Raw genomic sequence first — 21,442 nt, 5'->3', positions numbered from 1 at the left:
ATTTAGCAGTGTTTACATGCCTTCATTTCCCCAAAAAATGTTGAATAAATAAATGCATAGGTTTGGCATAGGAAAGGATGTGTAATCAAATAATAAGTAAACTTATCAGGCAGATATATTTTGTTTATAAATCCTTATTTTGATTTCTCAGAACTCTAAGGCAAGGGATCAAAATATAAGGGATCTTGTAGCATAAGCATGCTTACAAAAGAAAATCGCATGGGATGGTGATTTGTCTCACAGCCTGAGGTACATGAAGCTCTGCTTTCTGTACAAAGTGGACAGGGCAGAAAAGCAGCTGGTCCTTGCCCTGCCACTGGAATGGCAGGAATTGGATGGGGTGGGTAGTAGTCCATTTATGAATATTTGAATGCAATCAAATAAGACTTCTATTGAGCTTCTACTCTGTATCAAATACTGCATTATCATTAGGTGGGATGTAAGCTGATAGATAAGATAAAATGTACCCTCAGAAAATTAAATAGGTCTTGTGAGTATCAATATGAATTTTAATGACAATTAACACCTTCTGTTTGTGAATGTAACTGGATAATTTTTGATATATTAACTGATATATTTTCCCTTTTCAGTAATTCTTGTTCCCTGTGAACTTTTTCCCATACAGGCTTTCTTGGCACACTGCCTCAGGAACAGGATTATGCTACAGAACAAAAAGAGCAAATTCTTGGCTTTTGAATTCCAAAATCTAAAATCTTGGCAAAAACAATATGTTTAGAAGGAAAATTGATCTGGAAATGGTCGGCATCAGTTTTTCCTACCCCTAAGACAAAATAAACCTAGGGGAAAAAACCTGTTGGGGATAAAAAGTAGCAAAAGTGGAAGAGTTAGAACCTTGAACTGGTCATGGAGCAGACACCTGTGGTCCGTGCCCTCCGCTCTGACCCCAAAAGTTGCTGGTGCAGAGGAGAGACAATAGACGCTCCAAAGGAAATAAAGGAAATGAAAGGGAATATGGCCAGCACCCACTCCTACCCTATACCCCCTACTGCTGCCTCCAGGCCCAGGTAAAGCTCCACATACTCCACATATCTCAGACTCTTAGGATCTTTCTTCAACATGCTATGAAGACAGCAGAGAAGCACATATGGCTGGGAAAGTGTATCTAGATGGAGAGGACCCAAAACAGCCTGAAAGTTCCCCAACATGTCCCTGGAGTTCAGGACCAGACCAAATATTTTCCAAGTGCTCAAGAGAAAAAGTCATGAGAGACCCAGATGGACCTCAGGCACTGCAGGATGATGCCCAATTCAGCCACTACCTGTGTGACTGATGAGAAACCCTAAGGACTGATGTCTGTCCCCCAGCTCTCTCTCTGTCAGATGCTAATGCACCCTGAAAGTGTCCTAGATCTATACAAACACTCCATGTTCACTATCCCACATAAACAACTATCCATCCCAGAAGAGTTGCCACCAGGCTCTTCATAAACCCAGCCTCACCCACGCATCCATGTTTAACCAGCTTCCTTCAGAAATATTCTCGCAGAGTTCCACTAAATCTTCTATGCTATAGGCACAACTGCTTTCTTTTTTCCATTCTTAGGAAGTAAAGAAAAGGCCAGGACAACATAGTCTGTGTAACAATCTGGTGCATCAGAAGAACGGGAAGAATAAAGTCCCCAATGACCCTAGGTTTCTGATCCATACAAGATCTTCTTTCTGATCTCCAGAACCCGAGCCATGAAGTGGGAAAAAGTCCTCTAGGTGGCCTGTTTCCCAACCTGGTGGTACTTAGTGCCCTTTCCTTCTTGCAATGTCCTCTCACTGTCTTCCCAAAACAACCCGAAACTCACTCCCATTAAAGTGACGGGACTCAATAGTTTGAGGTTTAACTCCAGCTCCTTCTCTGTTCACGCAGCTATCCAGTTGTTAAATCTACCTGCCGGCTCTCTCCTCTCCTTTCTATTACCTGGAAGTGCTGCTTTCTGAATATTCCTTTTCCTCAATCCAGGAACATGACAGATTTGCACTTCCCCTCTTTCTTGAGGTAGATCATGGCCAGGCACGTGGCTTCCTTTGGCTAGTGAAACGTGGACAGGAGTAACATGGGCTGCTTCCTAATTGCAGTAAGCAACACTGCAGCTGGAACTGCCTCCTGCAGCTGGAACTGACAGCATTTCAGATGGTGGAGGCCCTGTCACTCTGATTTCCAGAGTAAAGGGCATGCAATGGGTCGTTTCAGTCAATGGGCATGTAAAGTGAGCAAGCAATAAACACTTGTTAAATGAACTCGCTGGCTGTTGCTGCATAATAATCCAGCCCACCCTGACTAATATGCCCAGGCTATTATTGGGGTTCAGGCTCTCATTCCTCATCAAAGCTTTTAACACATGCCACTCAAAGTGTAGTTCATACACAGGTATCAATCCACAAACTATTGCTGCTCTGCAATGATGTAAGTATAGAAATTGAGAATAAACATTTAGAAATTCTTGTAACAGTTAAGCTGATTAATTTGACCTATTGAATCTAATAATAACATATTTGGAATTGTCTTTCCACCAGATCTTAGCACGATGTCTTACCCATGAAGGTGCTAACAAAATGTTTGTCAAATTAAATTGGATTATTGATTCATGATTAAGAAACAGAATTATGTTAGGATTCCAAGCACTGGCAGGCAGATCTGAGGAATACTTGGGGTGCAAGATCATTGAGGTGCAATGGTCTTCTTCATTGAGGTGCAATGATCATTTATAAGTTTCTGGATTTTCTGTTTGTACCAGCACAAAATTTAGTGTCAACAAGCAGAGAAACTTTCTGAGTTCTTCTTTATTTACTATTAAATATTGTTTTAGGTTTGCCAACATAAAAGCATGAGCATGAATGTGTTTATCCTCTGGAATAAAACTCTGTAAATATATTGCTTATGAATATGTTTTTCAGAATTACCCACAAACAGCTTGACATTTTGATACATTTGTTCAAGTATCAGAGGATAATGTAATTGATCCAAAAATCACTTCCTAACTCCCTCCAGGACTGAATAATTTTTTCCTCCCAAAGACTTTGGCACACACTAATATATTTCTCTGCATCATACAAGAAAAAGGCAACATAATATTCTGAAAACAATACAGTGCTAGGTATCAGGAGACCTGGATCTAATCTGCATTACCCACTCCACTTGCTTGCTACTACCTGGAGCTATTACTTAACCACTTGTGCCCTAATTTCTCTATCTTATGAGGATAAAAAGTTAATAACATGTAAGTAACATCAGCTCTGTTGTGAGCATCAAGATATAGGGTTCTGAAGCACTTAGTAGTGAATAAAGTACAACATGATTATAACTTTGCATTTATATATAATGTTGTCCTTGTAATGCTCTTGAATTATTTTGTACCTAGATTTTCTCCTTTCAAGGGAGACAATAAGCTCCTTAGAGGTTCACTGTGCACTTTTTCTTTGCATATGATCCAATGCTGAGTACTTTGGGACAAATAATACACATATGATGATCGTTTGAAAACTATTTATCATAAGTTGTTAAACCCCTTCACCCTTAAGTAAACTACACAAACTTTATACACTGCAAGACAAGTATTTCTCAATTCACACTAACAACAGGTGTTTAGAATTTTGGCTAAAGAGAGTTGTAATTGCCTGTCTGAATTCCTTGAGGGTAGAGGTCATGTCTCACCAATCTTTGTATCCCTAGACTTACCACAGTATCTGAGCACAGAGAAGGAGCCCAGTTTATATGGACTGCATTATGTACCCTTCAAATTCATATATTGAAATCCTATCCCACAATGTGACTGGAATTGGGGATAAGGCCTTTAGGGAGGTAATTAAAGTTAATGATGTCATAAGGATGGGGCCCTAATCTGATGGCGCTGGTGTTCTTATAAGAAGATGAAAAGATGCCGCCAGACAGCATGCACTTGCACGTGCTCTGACCCTCTCTCTCTCTCCTTTTTTCTCAATCTCGCCATGCCCCACAGAGGAAAGGCCATGTGAGGACACAGCCAGAAGGCTGCCATCTGAAAGCCAGGAAAAGAGCCCTTAAAAGTCTGCTAGCACCTTAATTTGGAACTCCCAGCATCCAGAACTGTAAGGAGATAAATTTCTGTTGTTTATGGCACCCAGGCTGTGGTATTTTGTAATGGTTGTCCTAGCTAAGATACCAGTTAATGTCTGAAGATAAACTGATAAATAACCTTTAATAAAATACTTCTTATTACTTCCCCTTAGTACCCAGAAACCTAAAAGGCCAATCTCTGATTTTGCTTAAATTGGCTTTGGGAAAATTTTCAAAATCATTTAAACATTATAATAGCACACCCACCTACTAGACATTTGATTTTTCCATCCACTTTCCTTAGTGAGTACAAGCAGTTCTTATCCAAAGATCATTAAGAGGATTAGGGGGTGGTAAGGAACGGTTATTGGCCAGAAAGAAGGGAAATTGTACTATTAATTGCTCAGAGGATAGCACATTATTCTGCACATGTAAACACTCAAGGTAAAATATGGCAGATGAATAAAGAGCTTCTGTATAGAAGAACTACAAACTTTGGCAGGAACCACTGTGCTGCAGCAGTGAAGAGGCCTTCTGCTAGGGGCTGCAATGGAAAAAGTGACCTCAGAGAGGAATTCAGAACAGAAATACTCAGAAAGAGATGAAACACCATGAAGTTTTGGTTAAGTCATTTGGTTCCAGGCTTATAAAAGGGAAAAGCTGTTTTAGTAAAAAATAAAAAATAAAAATAAAAATGCTGACTACGTGAACTTTGCAGATTACTCTTCTATTCTAATTGTAAATTTGAATTCCAAAGTACCTCTTCCTTCATGTTCTTTACAAGAGATCTATGGTGTTTAGTAACATATTCTTCTAAAGAGTCTCAGCCAGGAGAAGCAAATACTTAGTCTGGAGCCATAGGACCTAGCTTAGTATTCCACTGAGCTTCCCCAGCACAGAGGGCACACTGATTAGAGACTCCAGAAAAGAAAGGCAAAGGCGGCACCAGAGAGAAATCCTCACATGCCATTTCCCTCTTTCATGCCCCAGCTAAAGAGGGCACCTCTTTTACAGAAAAGTTTATACCGGCATACCTTGGAGATATTGAAGGGTCAGTTCCAGACCACTGCAATAAAGTAAATATTGCAATAAAACAAGTCATACAATTTTTTTGGTTTCCTAGTGCCTATAAAACTTGCATTTACACGAACATGTAGTATATGGCATCATGTCTAAAAAACAATGCACACACCTTAATTTTAAAATACTTTATTGTGAAAGAGGCTAATGATCATCTGAGGCTTCAGCAAGTAATAATCTTTTTGCTGGTGGAGAGTCTTGCCTTGATGTTAATGGGTGCTAACTGATCAGAGTGGTGGTTGCTGAAGGTTGCGGTGGCTGTGGCAAAGTCTTAAAATAACATACAATGAAATTTGCCAAAATCATTGACTCCTCCTTTCACAAAAGATTTCTCTGTAGACTCTGATGCTACTTGATAGCATTTTACCCACAGTAAAATATTCAAAATTGGAATCAATCTTCTCAAACTCTGCTGCTGCTTTATTAAGTTTATGTAATTTTCTAAATATTTTGTCATTTCAACAGTGTTCATAGCATCTGCACAAGAAGTAGATTCCATCTCAAGAAACCACTCTTTGCTCATCCATAAGAAACAACTCCTCATATGTTCAGGTTGTCTCATGAAATTATAACAATCCATTTACATCTTCAAGCTTCACTTCCAATTCTAATTCTCTTGCTATTTCTACCACATCTGCAGTTAACTTCCTCCACTAAAGTCTTGAATGCTCAAAGTCATCCACAAGGGTTGGAATCAACATCCTTCAAACATTTTTACCTCTTCCCATGAATCACAAATATTCTTAATGGCATCTAGAATGGCAAGTCCTTTTCTGGAAGGTTGTCAGTCTACTTTGCCCAGATCCATAACAGGAGTAACTATCTATGGCAGCTACAGCCTTACAAAATGTATTTCTTAAGCAATAAGACTTCAAAGTCAAAATCACTCCTTGACCTTACTGAATGGATAATGTGTTCACAAGCATGAAAGCAACATTAATCTCCTTGTATATGTCCATGAGGGCTCTTGGGTGACCAGGTGCATTGTCAATGAACAGTAATATTTTGAAAGAAATCTTTTTTTCTGAGCAGTAGGTCTCAATCGTAGGCTTAAAATATTCAGTAAACCATGCTGTAAACAGATGTGCTTTCATCCAGGCATCATTGTTCCACTTATAGAGTATAAGTAGAGTAGATTGGGCGTAATTCTTAAGGACTCCAGGATTTTCAGAATGGTAAATGAACATTGGCTTTAATTTAGTCATCAGCTGCATTAGCCCCAGACAAGAGAATTAGCCCATCCTTTGAAGCTTTGAAGCCAGACATTGGCTTCTTTCTAGCCATGAAAGTCCTAGATGGCATTTTCTTCCAATATAAGGCCGTCTGTCTACATTTAAAGCCTGTTATTTAATATAGCCACCTTCATCAACTATCTTAGCTAGATTTTTTGATAATTTACTGCAGCTTCTACATCAGGATTTGCTGCATCACTTTGCACTTTTAAGTTATGAAGACAGCTTCTTTCCTTAAACCTCATGAACCAAGCTCTGCTAGCTTCAAACTTTTCTTCTGCAGTTTTGTCACCTCTCTCAGCCTTCATAGAATTGAAAAGAGAGTTAGGGCCTTGCTCTGGATTAGGTTTTGGCTTAAGGGAATGTTGTAGCTGGTTTGATCTTCTCTGCAGACCACTCAAACTTTCTCCATATCAACAATAAGGCTGTTTCACTTTCTTATTCATGTGTTCACTGGAGTAGCACTTTTCATTTCTTTCCATAACTTTTCATTTGCATTCACAACTTGACTGTTTGGCACAAGAGGCCTAGTTTTTGGCCCATCTCATCTTTTGACATGTTTTTCTCACTAAGTGTAATCGTTTCTAGCTTTTGATTTAAAGTGACAGATGTACTACACTACCTTTTACTTGAACACATAGAGGCCATTGTAGGGTTATTAATTGGCCTAATTTCAATATTGCTGTTTCTCAGGGAATAGGGAGGCCAGAAGTAAGGGAGAGAAATGGCAGAAATCCTGGTTGGTAGGGCAGTCAGAACACACATAACATTTATCAACTGAGTTTGCTGTCTTATATGGGCACAATTTGTGGCACACCAAAACAATTACAATAGTAACATCAAATATCCCTGAAAAACAGATCACCATATCAGATATAATAATAAAAAAAGTTTAAAATATCGCAAGAATTACCAAAATATGACAGAAAGACATGAAATGATCATGTTGGAAAAATGGCATCGACAATCTTGCTTGAGGCAGGGTTGCCACAAACCTTCAATTTGTAAAAAACACAATATCCCCAAAACAGAATAAAGAGAATTGCAATACAACAAGGAATACCTGCTTATATTAAAGCAGCAATGTATATCTTTTACCACCAGCACTTAGCCAGAATAGTGAGTGTTCCAGAGCTGGGGTTTATTGCTATGTGATGTGATCCTGAAATTCATTTCAGGATAAATTAGGCTTTTAGAATGAAAAACTAAAATGCATACTTTCATATGGCTAAGAAAAAAAAAAATATATATATATATATATAAAACCCACCCCATCTACCCCTACCCTAAACAGGCTTTTATTTCTAAATATAGATCTACATTTTAAGCAAAGCATGAATCAAGTCACATATTTAATGTCAGTATAATTTTAGAGGCATGCCAGAAAGAAAAAGGGGATGTGAGTACGTAAAACTTATTTATATTTTTATTTATGCTATTTCCTACAGATTGAAAATAAATTTTCAAGAGTACCACTTCTCCAGCTAATCTACTCTTAGTAGAGTCTGAAAATGCTGTGGTTATCTAGCAGTGCCCTCTGGTGTCCAAATGAATTGTTTTAGTTTGCCTTGAGGGAAAAAATAAGCCATTATATAATCAGACACGGCTATAATCAGCATTCATTCATTTGCCAAGTATTTACTGAGGGTTTACTATATGTGAGTTACTGTGCAAAGAGGCAAGATACAGAGATGTATTAAAAAATACATTTCTTGTTCTGTTCTTAAGGAGCCCAGTCTAACAGGGAGACAAATGTAAACTCACTTACAAAATTACTTAAATCACTTTATCTAGTTTTTCATTAAAATGAGACATACACAGCTGGGTGGCCTCCCTTTCCAAAAAGTTCTGGGCCATTATTCATGTTAGGATGTGTCTGGCTGGCTTTGGACAGAACAACTTTGGTGAAGTACACAGGGAACATTCTGAAATAGAGTAAACATCCCAAGACATACAGCAGGATTCAATCCTAGTTTAAAGAGTTGGGAAAGCGCCTTTCACAGCCAACCCCAAAAGACACTTCTGGTTTTGTAGTTATATAGGAGCCCACTGGTCAACAGATCCGACACACAAATCTGACATTATCCTTACACTTCTTTCTGAAAATGCTATTTTTCTAGAATTATAATGAAAGACCTCAAAATGAATCAAACGAGAGACTTAAGAAATCAAGAGACCCTAAGAATTTATCATAAACTGTTTGAGGATTCTTAGACCTGCAAATTTTCCACTAGAGTCACCCAAACACATATTGTTCTGAATAGGTCCATCTTCATGTCCTCTGGGGAAGCAGAGGGAGCCTGAAGGAGTTATGGAGACCTCCCACCAAGAATAAAAGTGAAATTCAAATACCATCAAAGGAAGGAGTCAGGAATGACTACAGATGAAGAATGATGCTTTATACTATTTTGTGATGTTCCTAATTTTCATCATTTTTCCATTCTTGTTATTGTTGTTTCCTAATCAGCCATGAAACCCTAGTGTGTAGGCAGGACCTATGACCTGCTTCCAATCAACAGAATACGGCAAAGGTGATGGGATGTATGTGATTACATTATATAAGGATTATAAGGTCCATCTTGCTGAGACTCTCCTTTGCTGGCTTTGAGGAAGCAACCAGTTATATTGAGAAGGCCCACGTGGCAAAGAGCTGAGGGTGGCCTCCTGCCAATGGCATATAAGCATTGAGCACTCTCAAGAAATTGAAGGCTACTAATAACCATGTGGGTGAAAAAGCTGACCCTTCCCCAGTCAAGTCTCAGATGAGACTGGAGCCCTGCCCAACACCTTGACTGTAGCCTCATGGAGGACCCAACTAATCTGTGCCCGGGTCCCTTGCCCACAAAAACTATAAGATAATAAATGTGTGCTGTTTTAAGTTGCTACATTTGTGGTAATATTATTTTGCAATGATAGATAACTAATACAGATTTCAAGACACCTTTTAATTTTAAAACATTTTTATTATAAAATACAAATAAAAACATTGAGAAAAGACAAAGTCATCCATTTTCTGCCTCCTATCCCACTATAACCAGTTAGTAATTTGATTTACTTTGTTATCTTTTTATCATATGCTTGGTCTGTTATTTCAGCCATGATTACACCCACTTATACACTTTTCCGTCTTGCAATTTTTACTTAAGGTAATATTTTCATGTTTTTAATAATATTCATTACTAATTTTTAATAAGTACATTATGTATCATTTGTATATATCTGTTTATTGACTATTTCCTAGACCCAGGGATGACAAACTATGGCACCACATTTGTAAACAAAGTTTTACTGGAACAAAGCCACGCCCGTATTGTTTATGTATTGTCTATGGCTGCTTTTGTGCTTCATACAGCAGTGTTGACAAGTTATGACAGAGACAGTAGGTTTAAAAACCTAAAATAGTTACTTTCTGGCCCTTTATAGAAAAAGTTTGCCAATCTTTACCCCAAACTTTAAAGTGGTTTATAATTTGGGCTACTAAAAGTAATGTCACTTGGAACATCTTTGTGCATATAATTTTTTATACTTTGTACAATTTGAGAGACATTAACAAAAGTGGAATAACTGGGTCTAATTAATGAAGACATTTTTACGGTTGATTCTCTCCCACACTGTTGTAATATTCAAGCTATGATATGTGATAAGAATGAAAAGGATAGCCCAGAACTCTTGTAGGTAACATGTCTCTGGTCCCTGTTACTTAAGACACGTAAGTTACTTAAGACACACTCTGGATGAACATATTTTGAGTTTTGATTTAAAGTTAACCAAAAAAGAGAAATAACAGTAACTGCAATGGGAAGACCAATTGAAAGAAATCTTTTACTTTTTACTGGAGAGGAAAAAGTAAACAGAAGTGGGTGACAAGGTACATATAAAATGCCATTCTACGGTAGCTGCAGTGGCCAAAAGGCACTGGGGAGAGCTGAGTAAGAGAAAGAAATGGCAGTCTCAACAATGAGCTGGCAGTGGCAGCAAGAAACAAAGAGACAACTTTGAGTGTGGGATGACAAAAGCAGCACACAGGTCCCACCCATCTGAATACATCCTAGGCATAAACCTGTATATAACTGTAATTAAACTGTCTCTAGATAACAAAGTTTTAAAGAAATCACCCTATATTTTTTAAGAAGGAGAAAGTCTTCTACCTGGGGAAGTTTTACTCTTCAGAATGAAAACCTTATGGAATGGGGAAGTCAACCCTCACTATGTACGTCAACCCTATTTCTGAGATAAAAGATGAAGCAGTCTGATGGGTCTCAAATCCAATCTTGTATGAATAAAACAAGCATCAGGAAACATGGATGTCATCTTCTAAGAGAAATATTCTGGAAAAAAAAAAGATCAGGATGGACTTTTCTCCGATAAACAATGTAATCCAAAAGCAAAATTAGAAAGATATTTAATGTAATTATCCAAATTATACCAACAAAGTATGTAAAGAAATCACATATAGCACATTTATCTTATTAAAATGTTCCTGTCAAAATGTCAACCAATTTAACATTTCTTAAATAAGCGTTTTTTTACTTACAACTATTATTAGCCTTTACATTCCACCTCAGCTACTCACTAAATAATTAAATGCATGATGACTTCATAAAATACTTTGGAAAACCATGAAATTCTCCAAAGAGTAAGGAAATCAATTTTTTTTTTGCAAAAATAACTAGGAACATGCTACTTTGAACAAAATATAACCAATTTTCTGACGTCTGAAAATCAAGACTTTTTTTCTTGAATTTTCCCTATGGCAAAGGAAGTGGCAGTTCTGTGACTGACTTGAGTCACACTTAAAATCACGTCATAATTTTCCTCTTTTTGTACTTCTTGCTGTCAGTTACCTCAAAACTGACCTGAGGGTCTGGCAGCATAAATCCATCAGTAAGTTTATAATAGACTATTGTAGAATCAGACTCCACTATGGCCAAAGTAAAAGACATCGGCAAATCTGGATCACCTTGCAACTTTCGAGATGCCTTCAAGATCTCCCTTATCCTGAAAATAAAGTCACAATATACTTAGGAGTTGCGGTCACTCAATTAGATGAGATGTGACAGAAGAAAGCACTAGAAAACTTGAAAACAGGTCACAAGAAACCAAACTGAAGTAAAAAGAGAAAAAATAATTTTAAAAAATAACATCAGAGTCTTCTGGTATAGTATCAAATAAGTTCAACATTACACATAATTGGAATCACAGAAGGAAAGGAAAGAGAATGGTATAGAAATAGTTGACAGTTTTCCAAAATTGTTGTCTCTGAATCTGAAGTGTATCTTTTGTAGATAGCATATAGTTGGATCTTGTTTTTATATCCAATCTGACAATCTCTGCCCTTTTGAGTGTTTATTCAAATTTAAAATTAACATTGGTATGGTTGGATTCATGCCTGCCATTTAGCTATTTGTTTTCTATATATCACATGTCTTTTTACTTCCTCTCACCCTCCTTTATCACCTTCTTTTCTATTAAATAGGTATTTTCTAGTACACCATTTTAATTAATGTATTTTTTTTTACTATAGTTTCTTGAGTTTCGTAGTGATGACTCTAGAGATTACTATTGCGTCTTAGTTTATCACAATTTCTCTCAGCTTAATACTAACTTGATTCTAAAAAATATAGAAATTGCTCCAATAGAGCTTTATTCCTTTCCTCCACCTTTATGCTATTATTGTCATATATGTTTATATATTTAAACCCAGTAATATAGTGTTGTAATTATTACTTTAAATAATTTTCTTTTTATAAAGTTAAGAGGAGAAAGGAAAATATATTAGGGTCTTTTACATTCACATATTTAATATTCCTGGTATTCTTCATTTCTTCACATAACTGTCTGGTGTCATTGTTTACTCCAATATAGCTTCATTCCTTCCCCCATCCTTTGTGTTAATAACATCATATAAGTTACTTCTTAACGTGCTATAAGGCTGGTCAGTTGATTTTTGACAAAGGTACAAAGGCAATTCAATGGAGAAAGTCTTTTCAAGGATACTTGAAATGAAGATAGTAGTACACCTTTATGTTTACACATAAGATTATTATATGAATCAATTAAATGGCATATATGAAAAGACTTCATAAACTGTCAAGTGGTCATATTATGTAGTATATATACAACTTTGCTACCTTGCAAATTGGGATATAATATTTATAGATACCCCTGCCTCCATGATTATTGCTAAAACTGAATACTAACCCAAACATACTAAGGTACACTGTGCCATTAGTGGAAATACAGAAAATGTTTCTTTTCTGAAACAGTCTGAATCCCAGAAATTGACTTAGTCCTTAAAAAATTATTTCCACCTATGCTGAACTGCATTACAACTAGCTAGATTCTTATTCACAAGAATGATTTACTTTAGAGAAAGATATTCTGATAAAGCAACGATAGATATTAATCAGAAACTTCATTACTCAGCACTGATGGGAAGTCACACTGTGATAAAAGGCAGCATATCACAATTGCTTCTTCAATGCAAATCTTTTAATGTAGCTAAGTATTTTCCTTCTTCAAAAGTGGCACGCCAATATCTAAATTAATAATAATAGAAAAAGATACATTTTTATAGGCTGTCCATCTTGAATTAATTTTTTTCTACAAAGATGGCAAAGAAGAAACAGACAATGGATCAACTAAAATTTTAACTTATCTACATCTTTTGTTGTCAGCATGTATCATGATTACTTCACAGTATGCAATATACATAAAACCCAATATATAATGCACATAAAGCCACTTCAATGCCACAAGATAAATTTCTCTAAACATCCCTAACTGGTAGACTGTGATGAGAATGGGACACAGACAAGAAGGAAGCCTGTTAACACAACTTTAACACATTTTCCATTTCTGAAGATATAATGTTATTTAAATCAGAAGGTGTGTTTGTATGTGTGTGTTGGGGGGTGGTGTTCACTAAGGAAAACTATATGGGAATTGTAGCCCATATAGTGAAATTTAGAATAGAAATTTCCATCTTATTCACTACTCTTTTTCCATTCTCAATTTATATCTGTTTCCAGAGTTCTTTGATTTAAGCAGCAAAACATTTTCATACTTACCCCAAATACCCATGCAGGAAACCCTAACATTTGAAAACTAACTCAGAGTTGTAAAAGGGGTTTTGTTTTCAGAGTTGAGAGAAATCACTGTCAAAAATGAAATGGAAGTTCCCATTTCTGAGGCCTTGTTTATGGTATTTGGTTGGAGGGGGCGGTGATTGTGAATTACCAGTGAATCTTCTCACTAGTAACAGAATAAAATAGTTTATCTGCCTCTGTTACTCAAGGTACATTCCAGAAGTCTTACAGTTTCTTGTTCAGGATCTCTTCTAGTCGATTTTTCAAGTATGTTTAAAGCAAAGCCATCATCTTTTCCTCAACAAACAAGAACAAGACCTTTCTTGTTTGTTTCCATTATAGGATACTGCATAAAATCTTAAAAATGTTTATTTTGCCTTTTAGTCAACAGATTATATTTTCCCAATCTATTAATAATAGCAGTAACAAAAGATTCTTAAGTTCTTAAAAAACCACATATGATTGTAAAGATCCCAAGAACATTTAAGTATCACCAGAATACTATAATCTCACTTAATTTCTAACAAGCTTATGGTTTGAAATCTCACTTTAGAAATGACAGAATGTTTCCTTATATGTATAAATTTTAATAGCTCAGTTCTTTGGAAAAATATTGTGAAGATACTGGAAATATTGTATGTTTCATCACACAAATCTACAACAATAAACGATAAAATTCTTTATAGTTCATATTGGATAGAAATCAACCTATGAAAAATATAACCTATGTATTAATACTAACAGTTTCAAGTTTTAAACTCAGTTATATCTAAAGGGAAAAATCCCACCTAAAGAAAAATATGTATCAATAATAATAGCTATTTAATAACAGCAACAAAATTTGATGCTCACAACAGGTTTTTATTTCTCATAACTGTTCATAGAGGAGCTCTGTGTACTGAAAAAAAGTGATTCCAGAGCTTCATATAGCTAACTTGAAAACAAGCCTGAAGCAAATACACAGTTAACACTATTTGGCTAATACCTTTAGTCCAAGCTATTTAAATGCTTTCCATAAATCTTAGCATTGATTTTTCTGTAATGATTCTGAAACAGATACTAAGTAATCTCTGGAGATTTACACAGAGGACAAGAAGTTGAAGACCGCATTACTTTTAACTTCAAATGCTATTGAAATAGAATGTATCATGGGTTAAAAGTAGTATTAATTTCAACCCATAGAAAGTATCTCCTATCCTCTTCAATGTGGCCAAATAATATATGCTATAGCCTTATTAGTAAAAGGGAATAATTCCTTGATTTGCCTCATTATGATATAATGGAATGACATGCCATAATGCAACTCTGAAACATAATGCAAAATTAAGTTGGTGTCAGAGGCACCAAAGAAGCCTTATTCATCCACAGGCTCAGTCCCAAAGAAAAGTTTCAGGGATAACAGACCACCTCCTTGAAATTCATGCCAATGCCTTCCTAGTAAAAAATCAAGGCAGCTAAAATTCCAAGGGGGTTTACTGAACAATGAAGCTATCCACCCCAGTGGGAAGTCATTCTGTAATGAACTGCAAGCTTTTGTTTAAGGGTAAGAGAAAAAAAAATGCTGTATCAGTTAAAAGAAGCTGCCAGAATTGGGGGTTTCACCAGCAGCAGATTTCTAGCAGAGGGAAGGTGAGGACACACATCCTAATATGCAGAGAAGCCAAATGACAGAAGTCATTTTGCAATTATGAGACTTTAGGACTCAAATAAAATAGTGGTCATTAAATGAATTTGTAATAAGGATTATGCTTTCAGAAAGTGGAAATATTTTTCAATTACAGGGAAATAATAATGGACGGTCCTTCAAGAAAGTATGTAGCATTTGAGGATCAAATCTCATAACTAAGAATATCTTCAGAGATGTTCCAAAGAAAGAACTAGTTCTAGTAACCCTCTACTCCAGAATTAATATAAGTCCTTTTCCCAAGGCACTAGGGAAAAAGAGGGGTGAAAGGGCAGAGAGAATATAAATGAAAAAAAATTCAACTAAAAAGTAAAGAGGCTATTCATAACATTGGCAGGTTACAATGCAAAGCGTGGAAAATGGTGATAAATCCTGCAAGTGGATGGATTTTGCAGATACATACATATGTACATATATATATATATATATATATATATATATTTTTTTTTTTTTTTTTTGAGAGAGAGAGTCTCGCTCTGTCACCCAGACTGGAGCACAGTGGTGTGACCTTGGCTCACTGCAACCTCCACCTCCTGGGTTCAAGCAATTCTCTTGCCTCACTAGGCCTCCCAAGTAGCTGGGACTACAGGCACACACCACCACATCCAGCTAATTTTTTGTATTTTTAGTAGAGACGGGGTTTTGCCATGTTGGCCAGGCTGGTATCAAACTCCTGACCTCAGGTGATCCGCCCACCTCAGCCTCCCAAAGTGCTGGGATTACAGGCGTGAGCCACTGTGCCTGGCAGATTTTGCAGACATTCTAATTTTTTGGAAATTCTTAAAAGGTTGCTTATAGTATATTCTTATGTTCTTTAAGGTATTAATTAGGAAGTCTCTGCTGCAGGAACACAGTAGCCTAAGATAGCTTACCCAATCTTTCAACAAATACTTACTTAGCACCATGTACCAGGTACCAGGTTAGACCCCAGGGATATACCAATAAACAAAACCAAGTTCTCACTTTCAGGGAACTTACTTTCTAGTGGAGGAAAACAGACAGTAGATAATCAAAGAAAACCAAATATGAAATATGTTGAGTAGCATTAATATATCAAGTGTTTTAAAGGAGGACCACTTAGTAGGTCCAGGAGGTGAGATAATAGCAGCTTAAGCCAGAGTGGTAACAGTTGTAGTGTAAGTGGTAAGAAATGGACAGATTCTGGATGTAATTTTAAGGAATTGACAGGGTTTACTGATAAATTAATTTGGGGGTATGAGAAAATGGAAGAATAAAAACTAAGAGATTATAGCAAGGTTACAGGATACAAGGATAATATACAAAAGTCCACTGTATTCCTATATATCAGCAATAAACAATTGGAATTTGAAATTAAAAACAAAACACCATTTACATCAGCATCATAAAAGATAAATATTTAGGTATAAATCTAACAAAATATTTATAGGATCTATGTGAGGAAAACTGTAAAACTCTGATGAAAGAAATCATAGGAGATCTAAACAAATGGAGAGATAGTCCATGTTCCTGGATACCAATTCTTCTCAATGTGATCTACAAGTGCAATCCCATTCAAAATCCCAGCACGTTGTTTTGTAGATATTGACAAGCTGATTGTAAAATTGATATGGAAAGGCAAAAGAGTCAGAATATCCAACAAAGTGTTAAAGAACAAAGTGAGAGGACTGATTTTATCTGACTTTAAGGCCTATTACAAGCCGGGCACAGTGGCTCACACCTGTAACCCCAGCACTTTAAGAGGCTAAGGCAGGCGGATCACTTGAGGTTAGGAGTTTGAGACCAGCCTAGCCAACATGGTGAAACCCTGTCTCTATTAAAAATGCAAAAATTAGCCAGGTGTGGTGGTATGCGCCTGTAGTCCCAGCTACTCAAGAGGCTGAGGCATGAGAATTGCTTGAACCCAGGAGGCGGACCGGGTTGCAGTGAGCCGAGATCGTGCCACTCCACTCCAACTTGGGCAACAGAGTGAGACCCTGTCTCAAAAAAATCACATAAAGAAAAAAAAAAGACCTATTGTAAAGCTATAGTAATCAAGATCATGTGGTATTGGTTAAGGAATAGATGAATAGGTCAATGGAATAGAATAGAGAGCTCAGAATTGACTCACATAAATAGTCAATTGATCTTTGACCAAAAAAAAAAAGGCAATTTGATGAAGAAATAAACATCTTTTCAACAAATGGTGTTAGAGTAACTGGATATTCACCTGGAAAAAATCAATCTAAACACTGACCTTATATCCTTCATAAAAATTAACTAAAAATGGATCACAGACCTTAATGTAAAATGCAAAACTATAAAACTTCTAGAAGACAAAATAGGATGCCTTGGATTTGGTGATGAGTTTTTAGATAAAATACCAAAAGCATGATCCAGGAAAAAAATTATATCAGATTCTATTAAAATTTAAAACTTCTGTTCTGCAAAATACAATGTTAAGATAATGAAAATATAAGCCATGGACTGGGAGAAAATATTTGTAAAACACATATCTGATAAAGGACTTGCATTCAAAATATACACAGAAGTCTTGAAACTTATCAAAAAGAAAACCCAATTTAAAAATGGGCAAAAAATCTGAACAGACACCTCACCAAAGGAGATATACAGGTGGCAAATAAGCATATGAAAAGATGCTCAACATCATATGTCATCAGGAAATTGCAAGAAGTTAAAAGAACAATGAGATGCCATTGTGTGCCCACTAGGGTAGCTAAAACCCAAAATGCCATGCTAGCAGGGATACATATTGCTGAGTGAAAGCCAATCTGAAAGGCTACATACTGTATAATTCCAGCTATATGCCATTCTGGAAAAGGCAAAACAACACAGAAAGTAAAAAGTTCAGTAGCAGCCAGGGATGTGTTTGGGGGTGAAGAAAGGGATGAATAAATGAAGCATAGGGTATGTTTATGGCACTGAAACTATTCTGTATGTGATGATGAATACATGACATTATGCATTTGTCAAAATCCACAGAATTGTGCAAAAAGAATAAACCCTAGTGTAAATGACAAATTTCAGTTAATAATACTAATAATGTATGAATATTGGTTAATTGTAACAAATGTACCATACTAACACAAAGATGTTAATAATAGGGGAAACACTATGCTGGACTGGGACTTAGATGGGAAATCTCTGTACTATCTGCTCAATTTTTTCTGTAAATCTAAAATTGGTCTAAAAAATAAAGTGTGTGTGTGTGTGTGTGTGTATACATTTTAAAATGACTCTAAGGTTTTTGGTCTGAGCTTCAGAATGAATAGAGTTGCCATTTATTGACAAAAAGAAAACGACAGAAGGAGAAAGTATAGGAGCAAATCAAGATTTCTTTTTGGACATGCTAATTTGAGATGCCTTTTTTAGATCACAGCGGAGATGTCAAGTAGGCACTTACATATATGAGTCTGAGGTTCATGGAAGAGGTTGGGATGGAGATAAAAATTTGGGAGTCATCAGTATATCGATGATATTTAAAACCTTAGAACCAGATAAGGCCGCTTAGGGAGTGAGTATAATGAAGAGAAAAGCTCAGATGACTAAACCCTAGTTACTTAACCTCCTCAAATCCCCAAATTAGGTTCTTGCATTAATAGCTAAACATCTATATCCTTACAGATTTGCACATTGTAATTGGTATCCATTACAGAAAACAGAAACAAGCATTACAATTCCTAATATTCTGACTCAAATAATTTTCCCACCTTTGTTTCAGGATTTCCTACAGATTTTGTAGTGGCAAAACTCTTGATTTAACTTTCTCTTACCTTTGACTTCCTTAATCCTTAAGAGGTTGCTTCTCCTGAACTGTTACTTCCCAGGAGGAGAGCTGTTTGTTTGTTTGTTTGTTTTTTCATATTTTTTCTATGTCTGTCTCTCCTTTCCTCCCCTCCTTTTCCCATCATTCCCATATCTCTTGTATCACACATACTCACTCCTTCTCCACCCATGCCACACCAATCTAGGGCTTTCTCACCAACTGCAGGCAGGTACTCTCTCTGCCATTACTACATACCCAGTCATAATGAACTATTGGCAAATTTCAGGCCCTCTCAGCCCTCAATACCTTGCTCATGTTATTACTTTAACCAGGGCATCCATTCCCATCCTTGTTCCTTGTTCTTGCATATTTCAAACATCTTGTCCTCCAGTAAGTTTTCCCAGACTCTCTTGTCTCTTTATCCCACCAGTCAAAGTTAGGTCTCCTCCCTCTGTGGTCTTCCTCAGTACCCTGTACATATCTGTCATTACGTTTATCACACTAGATGTAAATGACTGTCCATCTCAGCTCCAGACTGTTAGCATCTTGTAGGCAAAGTCCATAATATTTTGCACCCGATGAGCCCAGGCAGCCAATAAATAAATAAGCAACTTAGAAAATACTGGAATAATTTGTAATTTACCTTTTTATTCTATCCTAAAACCAAATTTTGCCTCTAGGTAGTATATAATTATGTTTGTATTAATTATATTTAAATAAAAAGTAAAATCAAATACATTTATAACATTTTTAGTGATGGGTAAGAACAATAAATAAATTTTTAATTTTCCCTACACATCTCGGGGTTTTAAAATATTAGGTTTTTTCTTCTCCCCATGAAAACACAAAGGCAATGGATTTAAAAATAAATAATTCGTCCATTTATATTATCTGGGTTACTGCTGTGATAATACAAACAGCTAATAAAATGTTCTTTAATCATGTCCTTTAAAAAAGAAAAATTACTATTGGCAGTCTTTAAAAGCTATATTGGGAAAAATTAATTCTGACAAAGAAAAAATAACTAAAATTCATCGGATTCAATGTATGAGGAAAAGAGAGTACATTCTTTTGAAAACAACATTGAGGGAAATAGGATATGATATGCATTAATAAGCTAAGCATCAGATTAAGCAAATCACCACAGGCTAGGAATCCTAACTTTGGCTCTGACATTCATTTCTAATGTGCACAGAATTATTTTCACTTCTCTTAAGGCATAAATTCCTTTAATTGTACAATACTCTTGCCAAAATAATTTTATTCAAACCAACTTTTAAAAGCTCTTAGACTTTTAGCTTCATGGTAGCTAAGCTTGCAAAGGAGCAATTTGGTATATGGAATGTTTACATCTTTTTTCTAAACTTCCCAAGTAATATGCAGATGCCAAGAAGAACTTTTGAAATATTTTTGTCTCAGATAAGATGGCTGAGTGTATTCAATTTAGAAAGGTTACCAACTGCCACGAAACAATAACAACAAAAGAAATGCCACTATTTGAGGTCCTAGGGGAACAAAATGGTGATGGGAGAGGCTCCATTCTCCCATCCACTATTCTTCTCTGACACTGAGAAGAAAGAACCATTTACAATTTAGTCAGGTTTGAAAGGATGAATGATTCACGTATTACTAAGGAAGGAACTACAATCCTTTGGGGAAAGAAAAGGAGATTAATAGTTTCAGAAAGCTGTATCTTAACTGTGCCTGGATTTTATAATTGTATAAGACATTTCACTTCGCTCAGCTTTTTTTTAATTTACATATAACCACAGATGAGTTTAAAATATGTCAACTAAGGTTTTCCCACCTCTTGTATCTTACTGAAGAAACAAAATTTACATTAGAATTGGGAGGTGACATTGGGTCTATGAGGGGGAAAAAAAAACAAACAAAAAAAACCCTACCAGTAGTTAAAGACTAGAAAACCATTTTGTTCCCTTATAATTTGAGTCCCTGTATAAGTCACTTAAGATATTTTCCCATTTGCAACTACCTGTAGTACTACTACTATTACAGAAAATTGTAATACTATTATCCTAATTTCAGTATAGTATACTTTTACCATTTAGGGTACTCAATAAATACCAATGGACCCAAGGTGGTCCAAAGTGAAGCTAATCAGGCTATCTGAACATAAATTTGACTTCATTTGCAATCTTAGCACTGAAAAAGATAGGTCACTAGTTTTAGTTAGTATTCCTCTTGTTGTCTCATCTTTAAATCCATCAGATCTCTTTCATCTCTGTGTATCTATGAATATGATTTTATACCATTGCTTTGTCTGAGCAAACTGTACCTCTACAGTCATTTACCAAAGTTGCTTCATGTATTCCTTAGATTCAATTTAGCAAAGAAACAATCTAGAGTACTGTCCATATGGATACCATGCAAATATACAACTTAATATGGCATTATAATGCAAACTAAAAATTATTTTACATTAGCTTTAGGAAGTATTTTTAGATGAGAGAAACAAGAAACACTAGCAATTAATTACTTCATACTCCATCAGCAAAATTTTCCCACTAGATAATCAGAAATGGGCACTTTATCAATTTTATTCCCCCAT

General features: G+C 36.0%; 1 protein-coding gene across 7 annotated transcripts in view, besides 1 other annotated feature; it reads right to left on the bottom strand.

The window, feature by feature from the left end:
• TSEN15 (tRNA splicing endonuclease subunit 15) overlaps positions 1–21,442 on the bottom strand; it is a 45,756-nt gene that overhangs the window by 13,975 nt on the left and 10,339 nt on the right. For 2 of the 7 annotated variants that reach the window (NR_125335.2, NM_052965.4), the window contains 2 exons: positions 11,213–11,354; positions 9,299–10,684 (listed from right to left, as the gene is read on the bottom strand). The exons of 1 other annotated variant lie outside the window; for it this stretch is intronic. Coding sequence is in view for 4 of the 6 variants with exons in the window: in NM_052965.4 (NP_443197.1) it covers positions 10,664–10,684; positions 11,213–11,354 (163 nt within the window). In the remaining 2 variants the exon portion in view is untranslated. Of the gene's footprint in view, positions 1–9,298; positions 10,685–11,200; positions 11,355–12,778; positions 12,896–21,442 lie in introns of those variants that run through there. 4 more of the 7 variants (NR_023349.3, NM_001300764.2, NM_001300766.2 and 1 more) reach the window with 4 other exon arrangements.
• Positions 14,644–15,182: an enhancer, noted in NCBI's record as "OCT4-NANOG hESC enhancer chr1:184037463-184038001 (GRCh37/hg19 assembly coordinates)". NCBI's record gives its function as "activates a minimal SCP1, AML or CMV promoter by ChIP-STARR-seq in naive H9 embryonic stem cells {active_cell/tissue: H9 hESC(naive)}" and the evidence as "EXISTENCE:reporter gene assay evidence [ECO:0000049][PMID:30033119]".

The sequence above is a fragment of the Homo sapiens genome, chromosome 1 (genome assembly GCF_000001405.40).
Source record: "Homo sapiens chromosome 1, GRCh38.p14 Primary Assembly".
In the NCBI taxonomy this organism is placed as follows: domain Eukaryota; kingdom Metazoa; phylum Chordata; class Mammalia; order Primates; family Hominidae; genus Homo; species Homo sapiens.
This window is presented reverse-complemented; position numbering and strand designations above follow the sequence as displayed.